Source organism: Homo sapiens, chromosome 5 (genome assembly GCF_000001405.40).
Source record: "Homo sapiens chromosome 5, GRCh38.p14 Primary Assembly".
In the NCBI taxonomy this organism is placed as follows: domain Eukaryota; kingdom Metazoa; phylum Chordata; class Mammalia; order Primates; family Hominidae; genus Homo; species Homo sapiens.
The window spans coordinates 61529108-61554364 of NC_000005.10; the positions used below are offsets into that span (position 1 = coordinate 61529108).

Sequence of the window (25257 nt, forward strand, 5' to 3'; positions counted from 1 at the left end):
GAGGCAAGAGAATCGCTTGAACCCGGGAGGTGGAGGTTGCAGTGAGCCAAGATCGCACCATTGCACTCCAGGCCGGGCAACAAGAGTGAAACTCCATCTCAAAAAAATGAAAAGAAGGAGCTACTATTATTTATTACTTTAGTAAACACTTAGATGTAAAATACTGCATTATTTACAACAATGGAATATATCTTAAACATAGCTTTTTTTCCCAGCATTCTGCGGTTTAACTTGAAAGCATTATATTCTGTGAAGAAAATGAAAAGGATTATTTCGTTCAAATTATATATAATCGTCTATTATCATTCCCCTTTATGGCAAAGGTTCTCTCTTAAATGGCTTACAGATTCACACTAAGGAAGATTTTCATAAGGTGATGGGGGTAATTTAAGGATATTCATGTGGGAATACAAGTCTAACCCAAGCTACAGCTGCCTTCAAGTCCTCAATTTACATGACCCAGTTAACACTGATTTAGAGAGGTCTCTTCTGCATATCGTGGTAGAGTTACCAATTGATAATTCCAGTGGGACTTCTTAGTCCTCTCTAATGCCCCCTCCTAGGGAAGTGGGGGAGTTGTTCCTAATTTCTCAAAAGAAAATTTGGAATTCATTTTTCCCTATACAACATAATTTAATAGTGTAAGTAGTAATGTTGACTCAGTACCCTAGACACATGAATTAAATAGATGTTTGGGAGCTGTCCTGGAAATTCAGTACCATTTATATTGACTTACAGATGAACCTTTAGAACTCAAAATAGTTGACAAGTTGGGGATTATGGTACCTTTTGATTGGTTTCTTAATTAAAAGAGAATTTCGAACAGAATTCAGAACTGGTTTATCAGGATGCTGCTATTAAATGGTAAAGCCTCTGTTTTCCCCACTTCTTTCCCTTCATCTCCCTTCTACTCCCCCATTTCTCAATTCCCTTTCCTTACACAGAGCTACCCCATAAAAACATAACCTCGATAACCAATCTGGAGGGCTGGGTTGGACATCCCCTGGACCCTGTGGGCACTCTCTTCAGTAGCCTTATGGAAGCCTGCCGCATTGATGATGAGAACCTCTCTGGGTTCTCAGATTTTACAGGTAAAACCATTGACATTTGTCTCATGTGCTTTTCTTTTTCTAAACCCTGAATGGCAGTAGTCATTGTTTTTCTTTACATTATGTTTTATGGAACCATGTAGTTAACAGCACCTTTGGTTAGCAAGAGAGCAAGAAAATGGGCACTGTCATGCTTTCACGCAGGCTGCTACAAAACTGGGAAAAGTCTTAGAGTTGATAGTTGGCAGCCTGTTTCGAGAATCTTAAAAATATTTATTCTCTTCTAACCAGTGATTCTGTATCTACGAATTTATCCACATTTATGACTACTTCTTAGCATAAAGTTATAAAATAAAGATGTACATCTTAGCATTTAGAACTAGAAAATCTAGTTTAGGTGCTTTTCAAATTTGTCTTTGCATTGAAAGTGACTTGTCACTTAAATATTTTAGTCTACTTTAAGGGGGAGTATTAAATGTCATTTAAAACTGTTTTATATCATACATTCCTTGAAAGCTGTGTTTTGAGATTTCACTTTGGCCCATTGAAACTTAAGAATCTTGACTAAAAAGACTGCCCAAGGGCAGTGGGTGGAGGTAAGGCAGGGAGTAACGATGTCCCTTTGTTGCTTCCATGGCTGGATGAGCTCAAGTCTTGCCCCTTCATAATTTGCCCTGTGATAGTTGCCTTCATGGACTGTGGGTAACCCAGACACTGTCAGGAGGGTGAAAGGCATGAGTCTGAATTCACTTTCCTTGGGAGTTTGATGGTTGAAGTTTGTTATAATTTATAATAGAAGCACTTTAATGGAGACAAGAGAATGTTCAAAGAATCATTCCTCTTGTGATAACTGATGACTCTTGGATAATAAAAAGGACTTGAAATTGGGTTATATATGTTATGTTCCCTACTGTTTTTATTATGGAAACGTTTTGAATGCCAGGATTTAAAAAGTGGTGAGTGCAAGTCATCGTGTAATTTTACTATTGTGTAATTAAATTTTGTTTTTCTCTTAAGTATTCTTAGTTCATATTTTCTTAGATTTATAGTTTTCTTTGGTGATTTATTTTCAAGGGAGAAAAGTATTTGTAATGTTATATCCCCCAAAACGTAAACATTTAATCATTCATGGTCATTTTTAAAAAGATACTGGAAGACTGCACTTTAGCCTAAAAAACATGTTTTCTGGCTTTCTCAGCATTAATCCATAATTCATTTGCTTGTACGGGGAAGTATAAATATTTGTACTTATCATATCATCTGCAAAAGTAGTTTCTGAGCTCTGATTTCTTTTGTGGCATTTTGCAGAGAATATGGGACAGTGCAAGTCTCTGGAATACCAGCATCTACCTGCACACAAATTCTTAGAAGAAGGGGAATCCTATTTAACGCTGGCTGTGGAAGTAGCCCTGATAGGGCTAGGACAGCAGCGTATCATGCCTGATGGGCTGTACACACAAGAGAAAGTTTGCCGGAATGAGGAGCAGCTCATTTCTAAGCTTCAGGAAATTGAATTGGATGACACACTGGTGAAAATTTTTCGCAAGCAAGCAGTCTTCCTATTAGAAGGTAGCCTGATACAGAAGTTTTCCACTTATTTAGCCAATTTGACTTAGGTGCTAATCTTTCTTATGTTAAAAGTGCTATCTGAATGCATTTAATATGGTAGTTATCCTGATTGCTATAGTCATGGGGTATCAAAGACATGTTCGCTGTCTAAAAAATAGTGTCACTGAATAAAAAAGCATGGATGTTTAGATTTGTATCATTTGATTTAGGTGGTTATATATGATAGCCTATTACAAAACAGCTGCATTTAATGCCTCAAACCTTGAAAAGAACCTATTTCATTCAGACTGTGTTGTTCCTGAGATAAATGCAATTTTGATATTTAGTGCATTATTATTGGCAGGCATGTTCCTATTTCCTTGATCAATTAAATAATAAAACAGTAATTGGCTGGCCTTCCTCCAAATTATTGGCGGTTACATGACACCTGGGTTTTGAATGTGTCATACGCACACGCTAACAAACGACTGAGGGCTGTGCGAGTGAATTTCTGCTGCACCAACTAGTTATTTCAGAGGATTCATTAGGCACAGATTCATCAAGGAAAAGGTTTCATAGAATCTGAGGCACGGTCTAATTTCCTTCTTCTCATAAAGTTAAGTTTTAAAGGGCCTAACAAATTTTGGCTGACACTATTTTTCAGATTTTTTCCCCTCTGAAAAGGTAAATGTAATTCATGTGGTAGTGTGATCTTTCGTGCAAATTTAGGTGGTGTGTAACTATTGCTTCTGTCTCTCAAGTATATGTGTGTTATTAGTGTGTTATTATGGGATTCTCTGTGATTGATAGCCTCATAAAGTATGTTATATTCATCTTATGTTCAGAACTACTACATATAGGGAAGGGATTTAGATTTTCAGCACCCCTTTTATTTGTCCAAAGCAAAAGATCTACTTAAAAGAAAACATTTTCTTCAAACATACTTTACTTTTATATGTTTTAGAAATGCATTTTAAAGGGAAAATGCTCTTCAGGTAAACCTTCTTAATAGCATGCTTAATTTTGGTAAAAATTCCCAGTGGTAATTTTTTGAAGCACTCTCCTGAACCTGTTTTTTTCCCTGTAAAGATAAAAAGCCCATCTTGACACTTGACAAATTTCAAGAGTGATCCTGATTCTTCAGTTACTGTTTTCTTTCAGTTTTCTCCCATATAATTCCTTATGCTATAAGCAATGTCATTAGTCACAAGCATTTTTTAAATGCTTTCTGTCACTGACTATACTGACTTTTGATTTCTCTTATACTGAAGTTTAGAAAGAAGATCTGTGATTTTCAAAGTTGATAGTGTGTGGTATCTGTATTTACCTTCCTAAATATGTCTCCATGTCCATTTTTCATGAATATTTTTGAACTTTGCCCTAGTCTTGATTCGTCCATCCCTCCCGTCAAACATTTTTATGAGTACTGTGCCTGAGAAGGAGCATTGTTGACTCATCTCTGCCTCTTCTCCTTTCCTGGCCCTGCAAGGCCCACAAAGAGTGAATAGGTGCAGGACAGGAGGCAGTCCAAGGCGGGGAGGCCACAGGGCCATTACTGTAAATGCTAGAAGATTGAGAACTCCATGACTGAATTGACTACACCAGGGCACCAAGTTCTTCGTGCAGTTATACTCTTTGCAAATGTCAGAGGCAAATTAGTTAGCAGGCCCAGATATCTGGAAAGAGGAAGGAGTAACCCAGTATTGTTGCTAGTATTAATCCCTCCTGGCCACAATATTGGATAGATAAATTAGCATATTGAACAAGCACCTCTGGGGAAACTTGGTGCCAAATATCAAGTTGTCATTATTCAGTAGTACACTAGAGTCCAGGAATTACACTAATTATTAATCCACAAATAATTATTGGATACCTGACTGAATGTTTTACTTGTTGAGTGGTATCATAGCAAATAATTGATTATGTATCCTGGATCTCCTGAATAGTACAAAAAAGGTAATTTGGTGGTTTAAGGGGAAACAGTGAAAGAAAATGAAGGAGAAATGAAGACTGTGGCTAATCTATAGATTTGCTATAATTAGTCCTTAAGTAAAATAGTTAGTGTGTTAGATTGGGCTGCCATAACAAAATACCACAGATTGTGTGGCTTAAACAACAGAAATGTATTTCTCACAGTTCTGGAGGCTGGGAAGTTTAGAATCATGGTGCCAGCCTCATCATTGGCTTCTGATGAGGGCACTCTTCCTGTCTTGAAGACAGCTACCTTTTCTCTGTGTCTTCACATGACAGAGAGATCAAGCTCTCTAGTGTCTCTTCTTACAAGGACACTAATCCTGTTGGATCAGGGCCCCACCCTTATGACCTCATTTTACTTTAATGCAGGCCCCAACTTTGGATACAATTACATTGGGGCTGGGGGCTTCCAAATGTGAATTTTGGGAAGAAATACATATTTAGCCTGTAACAGTTAATAACTTAAATAATGTAGCCTTGGTATATGAACAAAAGGTGCAGTCATAATGCTATATGAACTTTTGAAGAATATCAAATCACTAAAACATTTAAAATTAAAGATTAATGGATTTGGTAAAATTAGAGATTTAGATGTTAGTTTAGGTGAAAAAATTTGTATGATTTTAAAGTACTTAAATAATGAATAATTCAAAAATACTATCAAAAAACTCAACTGAATTAAAATAACCTCCATTAAAATGACCTAGAATATATTGTGCTCATAACCAACCACCAGTTCAGTAACTGCTCTTACCATTTCTTCTGAACTGCATTTCTTGCATTCTAAACTCTTCACCACACTGGTTTTTCTCATGGAAAACAAATATAGCATGTCCTCTGAGCAGTGGTGTCATGGTTCATAATTCTAGAAATCATGAAACAGATGTTACCCGAAGGTAACATGGAAACTAATTTATTAAAAACTTTACAGTAACTAAACCTCAGAGTACCTTAGTGCAAAGTGGTTGAACTAACCACTGTGGTTTCCTTTCAGAATTTATTTTAAAAGTCTATGTTGCCGTTCTCAAAGCAGCATTCAGGGAGCACACAGGGGAAGTCAGCTCTGCCACCACGCCTGTCAGAATTTACTAAGAAATGAATTTTGACAGCTTAAGTGTAATTTTGCTTTTAAAATTGGCTTTCAGGAGCCCAAAGAATAGTAAACTTCCAGTTACTTTAATTTTTTTCTTTTGCCTATGATGCGTATGAAATGGGTAACTATTCTTTTTATTAATAATCACTTTCTAGGAATTAATATCTGTTGCCACTCATTAGAGGCAACAATGTGTATAGTTAGAGAGCTGTGGTTCAGAATCCTCCCACACCTCTCACCCCTGATACAGAGCACCATTTTCTGGAAACCTGGCATATTTGTGTCCCTAACCCTTCTTAGGTCCAGGGGTAGTTTCCATAGTTAAGCTGTGGTGTCATCTGTGCATTTACAAATCAAGATGCTCTGATGCCACACATTGAGAGAGGATGTTGCTCAAATGCAGCAAGGTTTTACGCTATAGAGGGTTCCTTTCTCTGAGGCACTTGTATTGTGAATGCTGTCTGCCCCTGAGTTCTGGGTTTTTCATCTAGCTGTGGGACAGTTAGGGGTTTGTTTATGAGGTGAAATCTGTAACGGATGCTATACCCTGAAGAATCTTTTTTGATTAAGGATTATATTCCTTTCTATATCATTTACTTGAAATTCTTATTTGTATATGTTATAACTTTATGTGACATTTTAACAATATGCTTTACAAGAAGTGTTAGTTCATTTTTTAGGAACGTAAAATGTGTATGCTCTCTTCCCACAGCCGGACCATATAGTGGTTTAGGTGAAATAATCCATCGGGAGAGCGTTCCAATGCACACATTTGCCAAGTATCTCTTCACCTCTCTCCTACCTCACGATGCTGAATTGGCATACAAAATTGCACTGAGAGCAATGCGGTATGTATTCACAGCCCAGCTGGGCAGAGGCAGGCCACATTCCCACTGGGAAGCATGGCTGTTAACTGACTTACTCCTTCATGTTTCTTATAGGCAGCAGAAAAGCTAAAGAAACTATGTATTTATGCTTCCTGTATTGTTGTGGAGGTGATTTGCTTGTTGGCTTGTTTTGCTTCTGTTTAAAGTAAGGGAAGGGTTATCCTTGCTGCTATCAGACTCAAGCACACCGTGGCTTTTTCCTACTTTTTCGTGAAGCACAATTCAAGCCAAGTTTAATCATAAAACAGCAACAGTTGAAACCTTCATAAATGATTAATTGTTTTGAAAAAATTGATTTTTGAAGCAGTAGTAAATAGTAAATATACTGGCTTGAATATAATTGAGGGAGACCTTCACACCTGCTGTAATTCCGCATTCCATCAGTAGTGCAGGAAAGCAACTCCCTGTATTGCCAAGGCACATCTGTATTCACTGGAGGCTGAGAGAAGGTGGGACGTGCATTTAGCAGTGAAGGAGTCGCTATTCGGGGTCCTTCAGGCTCTGCCTGCCTCTCTTCTGACTGCTTCCATCTCCTCATCGGTCTCTCCTTTTCAGCAATAACAGTTAGAATATGTTGTTCTCTACCACCCACCTTTTTATTTCTACCTTCTTTTAAAAGTTATTTCACATAATAATTATTTTTATCACAGATTTGTTCAAGGTGAATATTTTAATGAGTTCAAGATTATATTTTAATCTTACAAATAACCTTTAAATTTTAAGGACCTAAAAGGTACATCCATCTTTCTTAAAACATCAGCATTTTCTTTTTCCTTTAAAAAAATTAATAAAACACTCCTGTGCTTCTAATGGAAAGTACAGATCACCTAAGGACAAGCCATGTTGTAGACCTAAAAGCTTGTGTGTGCTGATTAACAGTTTGATCTCAAGAAGCTTTTCATCAAAGATTCTATGTCTGTAATCAGAGAAGTAGATTCTAAAACAAATCCTTGCCTATAAATTACCAGTGTCCCCAAAGTTACCCTGTTCTGAAAGTATTGAGTGTAGCTTATGTGTATAAGGACACCTCTTTTTTATGCAGTGATAAGGATGTGTGTATGTGTCTGTGTGTATACCTATGTGTCAGTGTGTTTTAAGGCTGACATCCTGTAATTTGACATGCTTTCCTTGGCAATATGGAATCTTACTAACCTGCTGGAGAATCTTCTTAAGTATTCTTTTTTCTATTTTTAAAATACCAGAAAATAAGTCAATAACAAACATCAGCAAAAGTCCCCCACCAAATTACATTATACCACTTGGTTTATGTTTTAGAGCACGATTTTAAAATAAGTGGGTTCCTATTTTTATTTTTGGAAGCTGAAATGGAAGCTGTCTTATGAAGACATATGCTCAACTCTATACTTACTCAAATCTTAGGAATTCTAATCTTGTTTTAAAGGGAAGATGTTAATGTTATGGTGCCACCAGATGCTGTTGCTACTACCACTGGCAAAGTTTAAGGGTAAAATAGCATAAAGTTTCTGTGTGGTTCTGGCTTATGTAATGGTATGTGCCAGGCAGAAAGGCTTGCTTTTCTAACACTCACAAACTCATTTATATTTGTCCTTGGTTGCTGCCAAGGCAGTTTCTTAATGGGGAATACTAGCAGGGTACAGGGGAATTTTTTTTCCACTTTCTCTCTTCTATCTGCCACTACTATCCTGCCAAAGGTCTGCCATGGAAGGCAGGTATGTGCCCCACCAGGTATTGCAAGGCAGCCCAGGGAACAGGAAGGAAAAGAGAGATGTAGCTCGCATGCTTCTTAGTCCTTCTGGAAGAGGAAGGCTAAGGAAGGTCATCTTCAGCACTCATTTTCTCATCTTCCCAGGGATGTTGATTAGTTTCTTCTACAGTAAGTCTGGCAAGACCTGCCTGTGAATACGAGGATATTCTGAGTTAAAAAAAAAAAAGCTAAATAGCAACCCTGCCATTATTCTTACTACTTAACTGCCTACCTTGCCACCTTCTCTACTGCTGACATCTTTTTGTTCCTAAATAAAAGGAGAAGAGAATGAGCCATTTGGCTTACCAGGCAATAATTGCTCTTGGGTGGGGCCTTGAGGCCAGCATCACTCCCAGACCCAGCTGACTCTTCTTGGTCTCCAGCTCTTATCTTATTTCATAGTTCTTAACACTGGTGTACTTGACTGAAGGCCGGCATTTTGATGGTTGTAAATAAATTATTTCAGCTTTAGGTACTCTACTAAGCTTTTTGGTACTTTTAGAAGAGATTACTAAATATTTGCTTTGCTTTTAGAAATTTTTTCATCAGCATATTCTTTTTTTATTTGTTTTGAGACAGGGTTTTGCTCTGTTGCCCTGGCTGGAGTGCGGTGTGGTGTAATCATGGCTCCCAGGCTCAGCTGATCCTCCCATCTCAGCCTTCCAAGTAGCTGGGATTACAGGCACATGCCACCACACCCAACTGATTTATATTTTGTAGAAACAGGGTTTCGCCATGACAGTATATTCTTAATAAAAAATCAGAAATCACTCTGAATTTATGCAAAACTGTCAAGGGACAGACACTTAGGTCACATTTATCTTCTGTAATATGGTTGGTAGAACATAGTCTAATGTCAAATTCCTGGAGTCATAAGAAACTAATTGTTCAGAAAGTATGAATGGATGGAAAAGAGGTAATTTTTGTCTTACTTCCCTTCTTGTTTTATGTTTAAATAGGTTAAGCTTATTCATCTTAAGTACTCACTGCTTCCTGACTGTGATCTCAGTCTTAAATATCCATTTCACTATCAGTTTCTGTTGATTTATTTTTTGAGTCATAGAATTCAAAATTTGTAGGTAAACATCAAGACCTGTGTTTAAAAGTTCTTCGGTGTTTGCGTATCTTAATTTATTTGAATATTGTAATTTTCTGAATGGTGCTAAAGAAAGAAAATCTCTTAGGTTTGGGTGATGAACAACTAACAAGGTTTGGGTGATGAACAGTTATTATTAGCAAACAATTAGTAGTCCAAAAAATCTAGGTATTTTGCACCCACACAGCAGAGTATAGCTGTACCAGCCCTTGCTGAACTTGAGTAGAGGCCTGAACATCTACCCACTCCTCTGGCTTCTGTTGGCCAGTCTTTCTGGCCAAGGACATGGTCAAGAAATAACTAGGGGCCACCTTCCTTGTCTTCTCATTATAGGTTACTAGTATTGGAATCTACTGCTCCATCAGGAGACCTCACCCGCCCACACCACATTGCATCAGTTGTTCCCAACCGCTACCCTCGCTGGTTCACTCTAAGCCACATTGAGTCCCAGCAGTGTGAGCTGGCATCCACCATGCTAACTGCAGCCAAAGGTACTGTACTGTCCTGAGGCCTCATAATTGTTTCATTCGTTTGCCTGTTTATTTTTTTTAAGTCTTGTTTTCTATCAAATTCTCAGCAGTGGTGTTAATGTCAGATAGGTTGAAGGGATCTTTTTCTTTAGATGTTAGCTTTTAAGGCAAAACAGGTGGCATTTTCCTCATTTACCTGCATCATTAACTTGCTGCCAGCAGAGTTCAGGTTAGTTACCATGCTAAGAAAATATAAATGGTTGAAATTCAGAAGCAGATTTACAAGTTGGGTTACATTTTTTTCTTCCTGAAATATTCACCAAAAATACATAAGTAGGAACTAGGAGAGCTGTTGCTGTCTCATGTTGGTCCTGGTTCATATGTGCTTTGAGTCATTGAGGGTGTGTCTCAGTGTATCTTTTTTTGTGAAGCCGAGATTCACAGACATTGCAGTAATTATGGGAGCCCTAGTTGTAACACCTGTGCCATCTGTGAACATGTTAGGTAAATTAACTTGTGCTTTATGTTTTGTTTTGTTTCTTTTTTCCCCCTCTGTGTGTGTGTATGGTTGTATGATTTTTGTTTATTTGTTTGTCTTGCTTTGCTTTGATTTGGTTTGGTTTGGTTTTCCCTTGTTCATTGCAGGCGATGTTCGGAGGCTGGAAACAGTATTAGAATCCATCCAGAAAAACATTCACTCCTCATCACACATCTTCAAGCTTGCCCAAGATGCATTTAAAATAGCAACTCTCATGGACAGTTTGCCAGACATCACTCTTTTGAAAGTGTCTCTGGAGCTGGGCCTGCAGGTACATGACTGGTAGTCTTTCCTGGGACATCAAAGACTGCTAAATAAAGGCACCTCTTAGGGTTGTTTTTGTTTGATTGGATTTTTGAGTGCAGGTAAATGACTCTTTGGAGTACAAATCTGTTAGACTTCAGGAGAGAACTGTATTTCAGAGACGTGGTCATTCCCAGCTGAACCAGACTGCTATGTAAGGTGCATGGACTGTACATTTAGCAGCCTAATTTGTGTCTTTCAATTAAAAAAAATCATTTTCTGAATTGCAGCCTTAACGACACTGTTTCTCCTTTGAATGAAGGGAGAAGAATTATTGCTAATAAGAGACTTAAATAAAGCTAGCATGTATAATGAAGATTCAGTTGTTAGGGTTAAATTTTTAGAGGAAGTATAAATTTTTATTGATGTTTGCATTTTCATAATAGATGGGCAGTTCTAGCTCCTTTTAATAACTCTGAGAAAAATAGGTAAAGGAGGAGTGATCGGGCCAGAGTCCAGTTTTAGATTTCAGCAGAACAGAATACCAAGGACATTTTGAGTTCGTCATGCAGATAGATGTTTGCTTCCTTATAGTTTCTGAACAGATCACTGGATAAACCAAGAACTAAAAAGTTTGTTTCATTTTTCTCATGGAATCTCTATTAACATTTGCTTTCTTCCCATTAAAAAGCAGTGAACAAAATTGTTATACCCCAGTTACCTAAAGAATGGGGAGTATAATCCCCTGATTGGATAATTAATCTGGTGTTTTAGTTGTGGATTCTCCCTTACAGTGACTAATAATGTTTAAATAATAGGATCACAGGAAAATGTACCTACCATGGTAACATAGAATACTGTACAAGCAAAGGGTATAGAAGATTGCTTTTAAGCTATATAGTGATGGTTCAGAAGTTTTTTGTTTTTTTTTAATTCTTGTTATTTGGCTAATTTTTGTCACCATTTGCCTCATCTTAAAGATGTGATGCAGAAAGAACCATTAACATGAGCTCTCTTGTTATTTGGAATTCATGGTAAATAGGATATGCACGAGAGCTTATTCCTTGACTCATTCTTTCTAGAACCTAAGAAGGAATCTCACAGGCCCTTTGTGAGTATTTCTAGAACCTAAAAAGGAATCCCACAGGGCCTCTGGGGATATGATGTCCCTGGATATTTTGTGGGTTTTTTTTTTTTTTTTTTTTTGTTGTTGTTGTTGTTTTGTTTTTTCAGATGGAGTCTCACTCTGTCACCCAGGCTGGAGTGCAGGGGTACAATCTCAGCTCACTGCAACCTCTGCCTCCTGGGTTCAAGCAATTCTTCTACTTCAGCCCCCTGAGTAGCTGGGACTACAGGCGCACGCCACCACACCTGGCTAATTTTTATGTTTTTAATAGAGACGGGGTTTCACCATATTGGCCAGGCTGGTCTCAAACTCCTGACCTCGTGATCCATTCCGCCTCAGCCTCCCAAATTGCCAGGATTACAGGCATGAGCCACCGCACCTGACCGTCCCTGGATATTTTGAATCTTTAAAGAATGGGGGAATTATGAAGAGGGAGATATGTTTATTTAGGGACTTCTTGTTAGAAAGTGAAAAACAAAATCAGATCACTAATGATATCAAGGATGATTTTTTCCCCCATAAACCTGGAGTTACCTTCATGGTCACCAGAAAAGAGCAATCAGAGATTGAAGGAATAACTAAAATGATTATTTTAAAATACCTCTTTCCCCACTGAGAGTTCCTGGTTAGAATGAATTCACAGGAGCCTCAGAAATTGAACTATGGAATGTTAAATCTGGGGAGGGAAAAAGGGCATGGGCTGTGTTTAATGCTCCAGTCCAGCCCTCTGATTTTGCAGATGAGAAAAGATAGAGTAACTGGTTCAGATACCACATCTAGTCAGTGGGCCCACCAGGAGGAGAATATGGGCCTCTTGCCAGGAGGAGAATGTGGCTGTGGCAAGGCCACCTGGGGTAGCCATGGACAAATCCAAATTCATATGTAGAGCTTTGCTCTAAATTATGCTTTCATCTTCCTGGTGGTAGACAGTAGGTATGCCTTATATGCCTTATAGTTTATCCCCCCCCTTTTTTTTCATTGACTCAGGATAATTTTCTAAAACATTTTGTTACCCTGTTTTTATAGGTTATGCGAATGACACTGTCAACCTTAAATTGGCGACGGCGGGAGATGGTGAGGTGGCTGGTAACGTGTGCTACTGAAGTCGGTAGGTAAACTCTGGAACAGAAGCTTTCCTAGGTGCCTCATGGTAGGATTTAACTTGTCAGTTACAGACATGTGAACATATTCACTCTTTTATGTTGACTTCTCCAAGGCTCCTTCTAGCAGTCCACAAGGGCTTCCTTCTCCCTGACCCCTTACCCCTAACCTTCAGTTATACATACTTGTATTATTCAACTTGAAATGGTCACATTTGTGAAGCTCCAGCTTCTTATTTAAAATGGTATAAGTCAGTGAGTAAACTGTTTTTATTCAGTTCATATATATAAAGTTACCTAGTTGCACTGTTTTTCTTCTTTATCATCTGAAGGCATACATCATGGTATCCAGCAGAGAAGTGATGACCACTGGGTGTGGTTTAGGTGATCCTCCAGATGTGTGAGCAATTGTAGCTGGCCATAAGAAGATTTCCTGGCTGCCCATAAGCTGCCATTTTGTGAGGCCCTTCAGCTAACTATTTCTCCACTGCAGCAGTAGATCAGTTCAGAAGAAAACTGTACATTCCCAGCAAGAATGCCAACAGAAACAAATGGTTGCTATTTAAAATAAATAGTGGTTAAACGTTCTTTTTTCATATTTGCATCAGAAAGGGATACATACTTCATGCTGAGAAAACACTGCCATCCCAGTGTTTAGATATGACACAGCATATACTATAAAATTATTATTTTTCTTTCACTAACGTATAATGGTTTTTTTATTTTGGAAAAAGGGAAGCTGGTCTCAATATAAAGATTATCTTTACATCATTAAAGTCATGCTTTAGTGAAGCAAAACAAAAATAATACTAATTTAAGAACTGCCACACAACTTCTTTGCCCCTGCCCCAACATATAAACCTGATTTCTCTCTGAGACCTAGTACCTTCTCTTCAAATCATTCACTTTTAGGATTTTCCTACAAGTGAGGGATATTGGGTCTGTGAACGTAAAGTGATTATTTTAAAGACATGGTCAGCCATTTCCAACGTTTGATTCATCTGTAGGTCTGCTTCTATTGACTTTGTTCTCTTGATTATGGGCCACATTTTCCAGCTTCTTTGTGTGTTTTAAACTTTTGTATTATGTGTACTTTTACCTTACACACAAGCACATAAGCCATGTAAAGTCCCTGTTTTGGTGAGGTTGCAATTTTTGAGCCTCAAATTCTGACAGGAAGCCCCAGTGAAGTAGAACTCATTAGCAAAAAGCCATTGTCTGAAATGGCAAGCAGCACAGTACAAATACCAGCTACCAAGAGGATTGGTTCTTTATTATAGCAAGTTCATGTTCCTTTCAGGCATTTCACTGAATAACAATTCATAATGACCTTATTCTTAAAGGTTTCTCACAGGCACATTACTTTACAGGATTTTCTAGCCTAGCTCATGTCCTATGATGGTTAACAATGTAAACACTGGTTGTAAAAGTCAAAATAAGGCAGGACCTCTGGGCAGCCTCCTCGTCAGTAATAGAGCCTGTTTGTGTTCCTTGCAGGGGTTTATGCCCTGGACAGCATCATGCAGACCTGGTTTACACTCTTTACTCCCACCGAGGCCACAAGTATAGTTGCAACTACCGTGATGTCCAACAGCACCATCGTCCGCCTCCACCTGGACTGCCACCAGCAGGAAAAGCTGGCCAGCAGCGCCCGGACACTTGCACTGCAGTGTGCCATGAAGGATCCACAGAACTGTGCCCTCTCTGCGCTAACCCTTTGTGAAAAGGATCACATAGCTTTTGAGACGGCGTACCAAATTGTTCTCGACGCTGCTACGACTGGCATGAGCTATACACAGCTCTTTACAATAGCACGGTACATGGAGCACCGCGGGTACCCCATGAGGGCCTACAAGCTGGCCACCCTGGCCATGACCCATCTCAACCTGAGCTACAATCAGGACACACACCCTGCCATTAATGATGTTTTGTGGGCCTGTGCGCTTAGCCACTCCCTTGGTAAAAATGAGCTTGCAGCTATAATACCTCTGGTGGTCAAGAGTGTCAAGTGTGCAACGGTACTGTCAGACATTTTGCGCAGATGCACTCTGACCACTCCTGGCATGGTGGGACTTCATGGGAGGAGGAACTCTGGTAAGCTCATGTCACTGGACAAAGCCCCCTTGAGGCAACTCTTGGATGCCACGATCGGGGCCTACATCAACACAACGCACTCACGGCTCACACACATCAGTCCTCGGCACTATAGTGAGTTTATAGAGTTCCTCAGCAAAGCCCGAGAGACCTTCTTAATGGCGCATGATGGACACATTCAGTTTACACAGTTTATTGACAACCTGAAACAAATCTACAAAGGCAAAAAGAAACTGATGATGTTGGTTCGGGAGAGGTTTGGTTGATAGATCTTGTATGAATGGGGTGGGGGGTGGGGATGGGAGGGATGGTTTGTTTTTACTTGAGCCTGCCTTTGTACCCTTTTTAACTTAAAGAACAGAGCCACACCGGTATTATATGTGTATAGTTATATTGCGTTTGCAGACTAAATTGTCATGTTGTGAAAGTTTGTGTGTTTTTTATTTTTTCCCTATTTCTTTCTTTCCTTTATTTTATTATTTTTTTTAATTTTTTTTTTCTGGTTTTGTATGAGAGAGAGGTTAAAAAGGTTTGGTTTACACTGAGTATATGTTGTCAAGTGGCAAAAGTCCACATAGCTCTCCTGTTTTCTGTATACGTTCACAGCCTCAAAAAAAATAATTGAAATGGCTTTAAAAACCAAACAAAACACCTCCATCCTGTGATAAGTACCTCGAATGGATTCAGCTTTACTCCTTTGTAACTCATCTTTACATTTTCAGCATATTTAAACAAACCAACAAAATGAAATACTAATAGTAAAAAGGCTGACCCATGTGGCTTTGCAGTGCTGTTCGTCCAGAAGCATGGCACACGATGCTTGTGCATGTGGAAACTTAGCGACTGTCAACATACATTCTCAGGGATTTATCCAAAAAAATTAAAAAAAGAATGAGAGCATTTATTGTACTGTATATATATTATAGTATATGTCTGAATATTGAAAATATAACATTAACTAATTTATAAAAAATATTCTATGTAATGCAAAATACTTGAAGCTGCAGTAGCTTGGTTTTAAACAAAAACAAAAAAAAAACTGAGAGAAAACCTATCAGAAGGACTAAAAGTACGCCTTGCTTCAGGGTTGGCTCAGGTGGTGAACTTCATGCTGGGCATCTATGCAGAGCCACCTTTTGGATTGCATGGTTGGACTGAGATCTATTGGGAGAAATTATATATGTATATATATTTATACAACTTATGTATACATATATATATGTATACACACAGACACACACACACACCACCAACAACCACCACTACACCACACATGCTTATAACAGGCACTAGAATAAAGAGGGACAACAAAATACACAGCCAGAGCAGCAAGCCTTAGCATTAAGAATATACAATATGCCGGAATTGGGGTTCGTGCCTCCTAGCCTAGGAAACTTAAAAGAAATATCCTTTTGACACAAAACACAAAATGTTTTCCAAAACAATTGACATAATGATACATTACGCCTTTGCAGTGAGCTAATAATAAGCTAACCTTTGTGCACAAATAACATTATATATATTATATATCTATTCTGCATAGGTATTTTGACTTTGTGCAGGACAGAAAGTTGTGTAGGTATGACTGTTCTACTTTTCAGTTTTCTTTTTTTTTAATATATTTTATTTTCTCTAGAAATTACTCAAACAAAAGCAGCCTTCTATCTTGCCTTGTCTTAATGCTTTAAAATAACCAAACTGGAGATCTAACTACCAAACTGTTCATTATATTATTAAATACCAACTTTGGTTACAGTATAGTGTCTTTACTTTAGCTGATGGTTCTGTAACCTTGTGCTTTTTAAAGCAATTTTTATGTTTTGGTGCAAAAGTTGTCCAGTGTCTCTTGTTCCCTTCACTAGAGAACATGCTTAGAGGTATGTTTGTAGGTATTTTTGTTTAGAAGAACTATTTCATGCGCTCCATTTTATTTATTATAATAGGTAAAAAGAAAAAAAAAGGTTGTAATTCATCACCCATGTAAACATGCTCATGAAGTTGAAAGTAATTAAGATTTGATACACTGATATCAATTTATTTATGTAACTAAATCACTGTTTTATAAACTTGTTAATGATCAACAATTTTTGTTTTGATTAAAATTAGTTTTTTGAAAGTTGATTCTGCCTCCTTTATGGTATATCTCTTATTGCACCTGAATTTGGTGATTATAGACTTGGGTAGTACTACGCCTCCAAGTGTCTAATACTATATTGACTCATCCAGTAAACGTTTATGTGCTATTTTCCAGGCACTGTGCTAGGCCCTGGAAATGTAATGGTGAACAAAATCAGACCCTGGACCTCACTGTCTGCTTAATGGAGAAGGCAGACATAAGCCAAATAATCACAAAGATAAAATATGAAACAGAATAGTCTGTTTTCTGTCTGAACCCTTGGTCGTTCCTCTAATAAGCTATAATTTAGGATGCTCAGTACTTAATATATTTAATAAAGGCTGAGTTTGTGAGATTTTCTTGTGTGTGTGGTTTAAAAGGAAGTTACATTATAAAGGGCAGATGCTACATGCACACCATAGTCACTTGTATCCAGTATTTCCATCAAGGATCTGTACCCAAAATGATGCAAATAGTTTTTGCGTGTATGTGGTTAAAAACAACATCACATAATTTACCATCTTAGGCATTTTGAAGTGTACAGTTCAGCAGTGTTAAAAATATTTACAAAGTTGTAAAACAGATCTCCAGAATTTTCTCATCTTGCAGAACTGAACTCTATATGCCCATTATGTGACTGCCCTTTTTCTCCTCCCTCCAGCCCCTGCTAGCCACAGCACTCTTGCTTTCTACTGTTACGATATTGTCTGTGATATTTTAGGCACCTCATGTAAGTGGAATCACAAAGTATTTGTCTTTTTGCAATGTTTATTTTACTTTTGTCCTACAGGCTCATCCATGTTGTAGTATGTGAGGGGATTTCCTTCTTTATGGCTGCATAGTTTTTCATTCATGTGTGTCTATATCACATCTAGTTTATTCATCCATCAGTGGACATTTGGATTCCTCCCACTTCTGGCTATTGTGAATAATGCTGCTGTGAACTTGAGGGTGGAAATACCTCTTTGAGGCCCTGCTTTCAATTCTTGTGGCTATATATCCAGAAGTGGGATTGACAAATACTTCTTTTAAATTCACAATTTTCAGAATACTTACTCCTTTGAAATGTTTTAAGTTTTTATTTGACATATAGTCTTAACAGTGGATTCCAAATGTCAAGAGGTTAAGTCGATAGGTGGAAGTTAAAGTAAATGAGTCCATGGTGACATTTAAAATCCCATTAATGCTAAGTAGAAATAAAAATAAAAACCATGAAGTGATTTGAAGGTTGATTCTTTTTTGTAAGTTTATTCTTACTTTTTTGGAAGTTGACATTGCCTGAGGGCAAATACAGTTTATGTGGGTCTACTGAAACGCTGGGACATTTCATAATGAAGTAGACTGTGATACGGTTAGGAAAGATGGCATCAAAGAAAGAAGAAAGGTGACTTCTAATAGTTAAGACTTTGAGATGTCCCCTGATGGAAATTGTTCTGTGTTAACTGGCCATTTTTGCAGAGAGATCTTAAACTCTCATGAGCTTTTAGAATACAGATGGAGACCAAGGATGACACGACTTGCCCACCCCCGTTTTAGCCAACGTTTCTGACCCACCATGCCTTCAACTCCATTTTTACGACTATGGTCAAGTAGACAAAACTGATGTGATTTGTACATGTTTTCTTACCTTCCAATGGGCTAGTGCTAGAAAGACTTCTGAGACTGTTAAAATTGGAATAGCAGAAATGAGAAATAGAAGTGACAAGCTTGGTTAATTCAAAGGCAAGAGAATGTGTTCCTAATTGGGGCCTGGACTGGAATTCTGCATTTCTCGGCTCTTGATTTGTGATTTCATTTGAGAATAGGGGCTATACTTTCAGGGAGAAAATGAATGTTTCATAACTTTCAAATATTAATAAGTCAGTTGAATAAAAATTAACTGAAGTCACTATAGTCACAATATTATAGTAGTGCAGTGTAGTAGCAAAGGAGAACTGAACTTTTTCTAAATTGCTGAAAAAGTTGTTAAATTGCAGCTGGTTCAGAAATTAGATGGTCAGTGAGAAGACGGGAAAATGCAGGGAAAAAATTAAGTAACCTGATACATTTTAATAAATGTGTGACTGAGGTAAAATTTTTATTTAATTTTTATTTTATTTTATGTTCCAGGATACATGTGCAGGATGGGCAGGTTTGTTACATAGGTAAATGTATGCCATGGTGGTTTGCTGCACCCATCAACTTGTCATCTAGGTATTAAGCCCTGGATGCATTAGCTGTTTGTCCTGATGCTCTCTCTCTCCCCAGCACCCCCTTCCCCCAACAGGCCCCAGTGTGTGTTCTCTGAGGTAAAATTTAAGAACTGTTAACACCAGTTGGTAAGTGGACCAGTTCAATCTAGCTTGAGCAAAGAAGAAATGTATTGTATTCTTCAGTGAACATTTTTCTATGAGCCTATCCTGCAATAGGCATGGTTCTAACGCTAAAAAGACAATGCAGAAAGCAAAATGCCTATTCTTACGGAGCATAAATTCTAGTGGGAGGGAGACATATAAAAATGTATTAAATGTATTAACTGGTGATATGTGTTGTAGAGAAAGGCAGGGGGAAAGGGTGTGATTTGAGGTGGAATGATTCTGGAAGACCTTGCTGATGTGACGTCCCCACGGATGCCTGAGGGAAGTGAGGGAGCTGGCCCTGTGAGTGCCTGGGCAGATGTATGTTTGAGGTGGAAGGAACAGCAAGCGCTAAGACCCCGAGGAGGAGGTGTGGAAATGTGCCAGCCTAGTCAGAACAGCCAGCAAAGGAACTGTGGCTGGGGCAGAATGGGGTGGGAGGTGGTGAGGTGGGGCTAAAGAGCAGGAGAGTTAAGTTGCAGCTCCTGGCTTGTAAGTCATGGTAAAGATTTTTGCTCTGTGTTTTTTTTGGTTTTGTTAGTTAGTTTGTTTGTTTTTGAGAGGTAGTTTCACTCTTGTCGCCCAGGCTAGAGTGCAACCTTCCTCATCCTCCTGAGTAGCTGGGATTACAGGTACCCGCCACCACGCCCAGCTCATTTTTTTGTATTTTTAGTAGAGACGGGTTTCACCATGTTGGCCAGGCTGGTCTCAAACTCCTGACTTCAGGCAATCCTCCCACTACGGCCTCCCAAAGTGCTGGGATTACAGGCGTGAGCCACAGCGCCCAGCCTGGTTTTTTTTTTTTTTTTAAGGATCCAAAGTAGAGAAGAATCATATGATCTGACTTTTAAGTGAGATGAGAAGACATTCGCTGGCTGCTGCGTGGTTAGCACAGCCAGGGAGAAGCCGAGAGATGAGAGGCTATTAACAGTAATCCAGGCAAAAAACGATGGTGCTTGGACCCAGTGGGGTCAATGAGGATGGTGACAAGAGTCTGCATCTCATGGAAAGCTGAGCCATTTCCTGATATGAGCATTAGCATGTGAGAAAGAGATGCATCAAAAATGACCATGGAATTTAAACTTGAGCACCTGGAAGGAAGAAGTGGCTGTTAACTGGAATGGAGAAGATTTTGGGAGCAAGCTTTTTGGAGGAAGACCAGGAGTTCAGTAGTGAACATTTTAAATTTGAGATGCCTGTAAGATATCCAAGTGGAGATGTCAAATAGGAGTTAGTCCAGGATAAAGCTCAGGGCTAGATATAAACATCTGGGAGTCTGGTTTTAAAATTTATATAAAACCGTGAGACAAGGTGTGAGTGAAGAGATTTGATCGAAAATTGAGAGTCCTGGAAATGTTCATTTCCTCGATTGAATACTTACTGATGTAAACCTTTGCTAGTCCTTCCTGATTTTTCCTGGCCTTTAAATGCTGGCTCGTTTTATCACTTGGTCCACTGAGCCCTTCTTCTTTGTTCTCTGCATATTGACTTTATTCTCATTAGTTTCTCCACAGATAGAAAACAAACTTCTGATCCTCCCATCTCACAGTTTCTCCATCAGAGGACTGTCTCCTCTTGAGTTCTAGTTTGGAAAATCCCAGAGAAGACTCCACCATGGCTTGGCCCCAGACGTAAGGGGGAGGGTCAGAGAGCACAGATATGGCCAAGCAGGGAGCCCCTACTCACTGAGATGTGGGATTCCAGAGAAGAGAGATTTATTTTCAGCTGTGCAATCATCATTTTGTGTCCGCTGTGCCAGGAACAATAATAACCTGCTGATGGGCAGCCTTACAAATATAACTGCCTTGTGAATATTTTGATCTTCTCCTACTCTGTGCTGTCATTTGGCAAGAATTTCATATTTTTTACATTTTGGAGATCTTGGTTGCTTAAAAGTTAGGAATCAATAATCCCTGTTCCTCTCTATTTTTCTTTTTAATTTTTCTTTTTTTTCTTTTCCCAACTTTTTATTCTGAAGTTTTCAAGCACACAGAAAGGTTGAAAGAGTAGCAAAATGAAAAGCATTACCTTGTAAATATCTCCATAAACTGTAAAACTTGAAGTGTGTTTTGGTGACTTATGTTCATAGGTCTGGTGACACCAGACCCCCTCTATGTAAAAGGCTGGGCTCTGATGGGGTGAATTGCTGCTGCACAGGGAACCCAGTTTTAAAATAGGCAAGGAAGAAAACAGCCTCTTTCCTCTTCTCTTTGTACTCAGAGCCAAACTAGAAACACCTTCCTACTCAAGGCAGAAGCATGAAGAAAAAAAAATAATAATGCTTTTTGAAAGAAATTGCCCTATTTCACTGTGTGTATTAACATTCAGAAAAAAATAATTGGCTCCACTGATAAATTCTAACTTGAAGGATGCAGGTCTTTCAAACATAGGCATGTACAAAAGAATTTTGCTTTTCCTCCACGGATGGTTTTTAAATGGGCTGCTGCCTTGTAAATATGTTCCTTTAAGTAATACAAAAGGTAGAAGAGATGAAATATTCTTCAGAATGGTTTGAACATTGGTTCCATTTTAGAATAGTGCACTACGCACATCGACAGACACTGAAAGGACGTTAGGCACCAGTGCTAGCATTATAGTGGACCTGTAATATGGTTTTGGTTATCACCATAATAACCATCATCATAATAGTTATGGCAACCACATTTTACACTTATTATGTGCCAGACCTTGTTTCTATGTGTTTTATATAGATTAACTCATTTGCTCTTCACAGCAATCCTAGGAGGCATGTATTTATTTTCCTTATTTTACCAGTGAAGAAACTAAGAAACTGAGACACAAGTTGTCCAAAATCACGCAGCTAATAAGTGGCATATTCAAACCCAAGAAACTGGCTTCAAATCACACTCATACGTGGTCATGCTCCACTGCTTCTCATGGACTAATGATTGTGTTTTTGAGCACTTACTATGCTCTTAGTTCCATAGAGGATCCAAAGAAATACAAGACATAGCCCTGACCTTCAAAAAAATTGCTAAAATGAATTTTAAAATGGGTGAAGCAACAAGGTGGTTGGAACTCTTGAACAACTATCTAAATGTTTGCATTTTTGCTCAACAGAACAACATGATATGATCAATTGGATATCCTCCTCACCTGAGTCAAGGAAACCCAATTTTATGTACTGTATGTCTGTATATAGGTGTTCGCATGTCTGTATGTCTGTATATAGGTGTTTGAAATCAAATAGAAGCTTAATAGCTCACCTCACGGTGCCAAGATAGGCAGTCCAGAGCACATCCACATTTTCCATCTCTGGGTCCAAGTTGACTAATCTGGTTGCTGTCATCACATCCGCATCCCAGCCAGTGGTTAGCAGCAGATAGTGGAAGGGGAGTTTTTCATGTAACAAAATATATTTTTATCTCCTTAATATTTGAATCATCTAGTATAGTAGTGTTTGTCAGAGCATGGTTCATGGACTACCTATGTTAGCTAATTCCTGGACCCAACCCCAGACTTAATGATTTTTGATGGTCTTACTAGGGGATGCAGGAATCTGTATAAGGAAGCCTAGTTTTAAAGCTCATTTTTATTTTGTCCTCACATCCAATATTCCCACGTGTTACATAAAGGGTTGATTATGCAACAAGATGGACTGGAAAAAGTAGGCTTGGAGGCTGGGCTCTGGGCAAAGCCAGATCTCAGCCCCCAACGTCAAATCCTGCTTCTTCTCTGCCAGCAACCCTTCACAGGAGCACTTCTCCCTTTGTGAATCCCTCATGCCAGGCAGAGAAACAGCATTTGACATCAAGGGCAGGGAGTGCTACTGCACTGAAATGCTGCATATAACAATGAGGGAATACCTAGAGGCTGGATACTGACGGAGGTTCCTCTTCGTGACAACCATGGGTAGAAACCAAAAAACATTCTGTGAAAGAGTTCTCTTGGAACAAACTTTTTAGACAGGTGTGGCTTCCTATGGCAATCAATACATTATCCCATATACACAGCACCTAAAGAGAACAAATGGGAATATATTGGAGAAGACACTGTAACCTTGTAAGACATGAGCCTTCCTAAAATCATAGTAAGTAAGCAGCCCAAATTGTTTCAGATGGCTCTCAGAGCTGGAATTGCACTTGCATCCACTTTTAAACCATTCAATTGTTCCTGATGATCAAATGCCTTTTTGTCCTTTACACGTCATACTTCAAACCCTCAGGTCCCCTCACTGGCGGTGTGACAAAGCCACCGAGCTTCCATATTGGGAACCAGCACATTTAATTTGTGGATGAAATTCCCCAAATCAATTTTGATTGCTGTCATTCTAGGAGATTTGGGGGACTCAGAACCGATGATGATGTGTGAAAAACACTTCCTTAAACTGCAAGGCAGAGGGCAGAGAATTCACGCTCAAGGTCATCTTGCCCTTCAGGTCCCACCGGGTTTTCATGAGTATCCTGTCAGTGGTTCAGGTGAAATTGAAGTGGGAGTGGTGCATTTCTCTCTATCTCAGTGACCTTCTCAAGTGCCTCTTTCTCTTAGCAGTTTGTCTGGCAGCACTGAAATTCCACCACATGCTTTATAAAGGCAATATATTTGAGCAGTGGTTTGTTCCTTCTGAGGCCTTTCTGGCGGGACTTGGTCTTGCTGTTCACCAGGACCTAGGTAGAGAAAGTGGCCTTCTATAAAGATGGCTTCCTTGACCTATAATGGGGTCTCATCCTGATAAACCTATTGTAAGTTGAAAATATAATAATTTAAAAATGCATTTTATTTTTTTATTTGTACAAATTTATGGAGTGCATGATAAATTGTGTTACATGTATGTAATGTGTAGGGATCAAGTCAGGGTATTTAAGGCCTCTCACCCTAGTATGGAACACTTTTGTTCAATATAGTCATCCTACTCTTCTATCAGATATTGAATGTATTCCTTCTAACCGTAGGTTTGTACCTTTTTACCCACTTCTCCTCTCACATCCCCCCCACTCACCCTTCCTAGTCTCTGTTATCTCTCTTTCCACTCTCTACCTTCATGTGATCAAATGTTTTAGTTCCCACATATATGTGAGAAGAACATGCAATCTTTTTGTGCCTGGCCTATTTTGCTTAAGATACTGCCTCCCAGTTCCAGCTGTGTTGCTGCAAATGACATGATATCATTGTTTTTTTATGGCTGAATAGTATTTCATCGTGTACCATATTTTTCTCATCCATTCTTTTGTTGATGAACACTTAGGTTGATTAGGTTGCTATTATGAATAACACCACAATACACATATGAGTGCATGTATTCATTTGATATATTGACTTCTTTTCATTTGTGTAGATTACAAATAGTGGGATTGCTGGATCAAATGGTAATTCTACTTTGAGTTTTTAAAGAAATGTCCATACTGTTTTCCACAGTGGCTGTACAGTGTCCAAGAGTTGCCCTTTGCATCTTCACCAACATCTATTATATTTTGTCATTTTAATATAACAATTCTGACTAGGGTAAGATGATACCTCATTGTGGTTTTGATTTGTATTTCTCTGATGTTAGTGTGATGTTGAGCATTTTTTACATACACCTAGTGGCCATTGGTATGTCTTCTTCTGAGAAATGTCTATTCATATCATTTGCCCACTTTTTAATGGGATTATTTGATTCATTGTTTTTCCTGTTGAGTTGCTTGAGTTCCTTGTTTATTCTGGATATTAGTTCCCTTTTGGATACATAGTTTGCAAATATTTTCTGCCATTCAGCAGGTTGTCTTTTCATTCTGTTGATTGTTTCTTTGCTGTACAGAAGCTTTTTAGTTTAATATAGTTTCGTTTGTGTGATTTTGTTTTTGTTGCCTGTGCTTTTGAGGTCTTAGTCATAAATTCTTTGCCTAGACCAATGTCCACAA

At 38.6% G+C, this 25257-nt stretch overlaps 1 protein-coding gene across 5 annotated transcripts in view; it reads left to right on the forward strand.

The window, feature by feature from the left end:
- Positions 1 to 17065, forward strand: part of ZSWIM6 (zinc finger SWIM-type containing 6) — a 213915-nt gene extending 196850 nt beyond the window's left edge. For 4 of the 5 annotated variants that reach the window (NM_020928.2, XM_024446139.2, XM_017009677.2 and 1 more), the window contains 7 exons: positions 945 to 1091; positions 2358 to 2618; positions 6377 to 6512; positions 9707 to 9864; positions 10489 to 10652; positions 12777 to 12858; positions 14348 to 17065. In NM_020928.2, the coding sequence (NP_065979.1) occupies positions 945 to 1091; positions 2358 to 2618; positions 6377 to 6512; positions 9707 to 9864; positions 10489 to 10652; positions 12777 to 12858; positions 14348 to 15210 (1811 nt within the window). In that variant the 3' untranslated portion in view covers positions 15211 to 17065. Of the gene's footprint in view, positions 1 to 944; positions 1092 to 2357; positions 2619 to 6376; positions 6513 to 9706; positions 9865 to 10488; positions 10653 to 12776; positions 12859 to 13182 lie in introns of all 5 variants that reach the window. The other variant, XM_047417453.1, reaches the window with a different exon arrangement.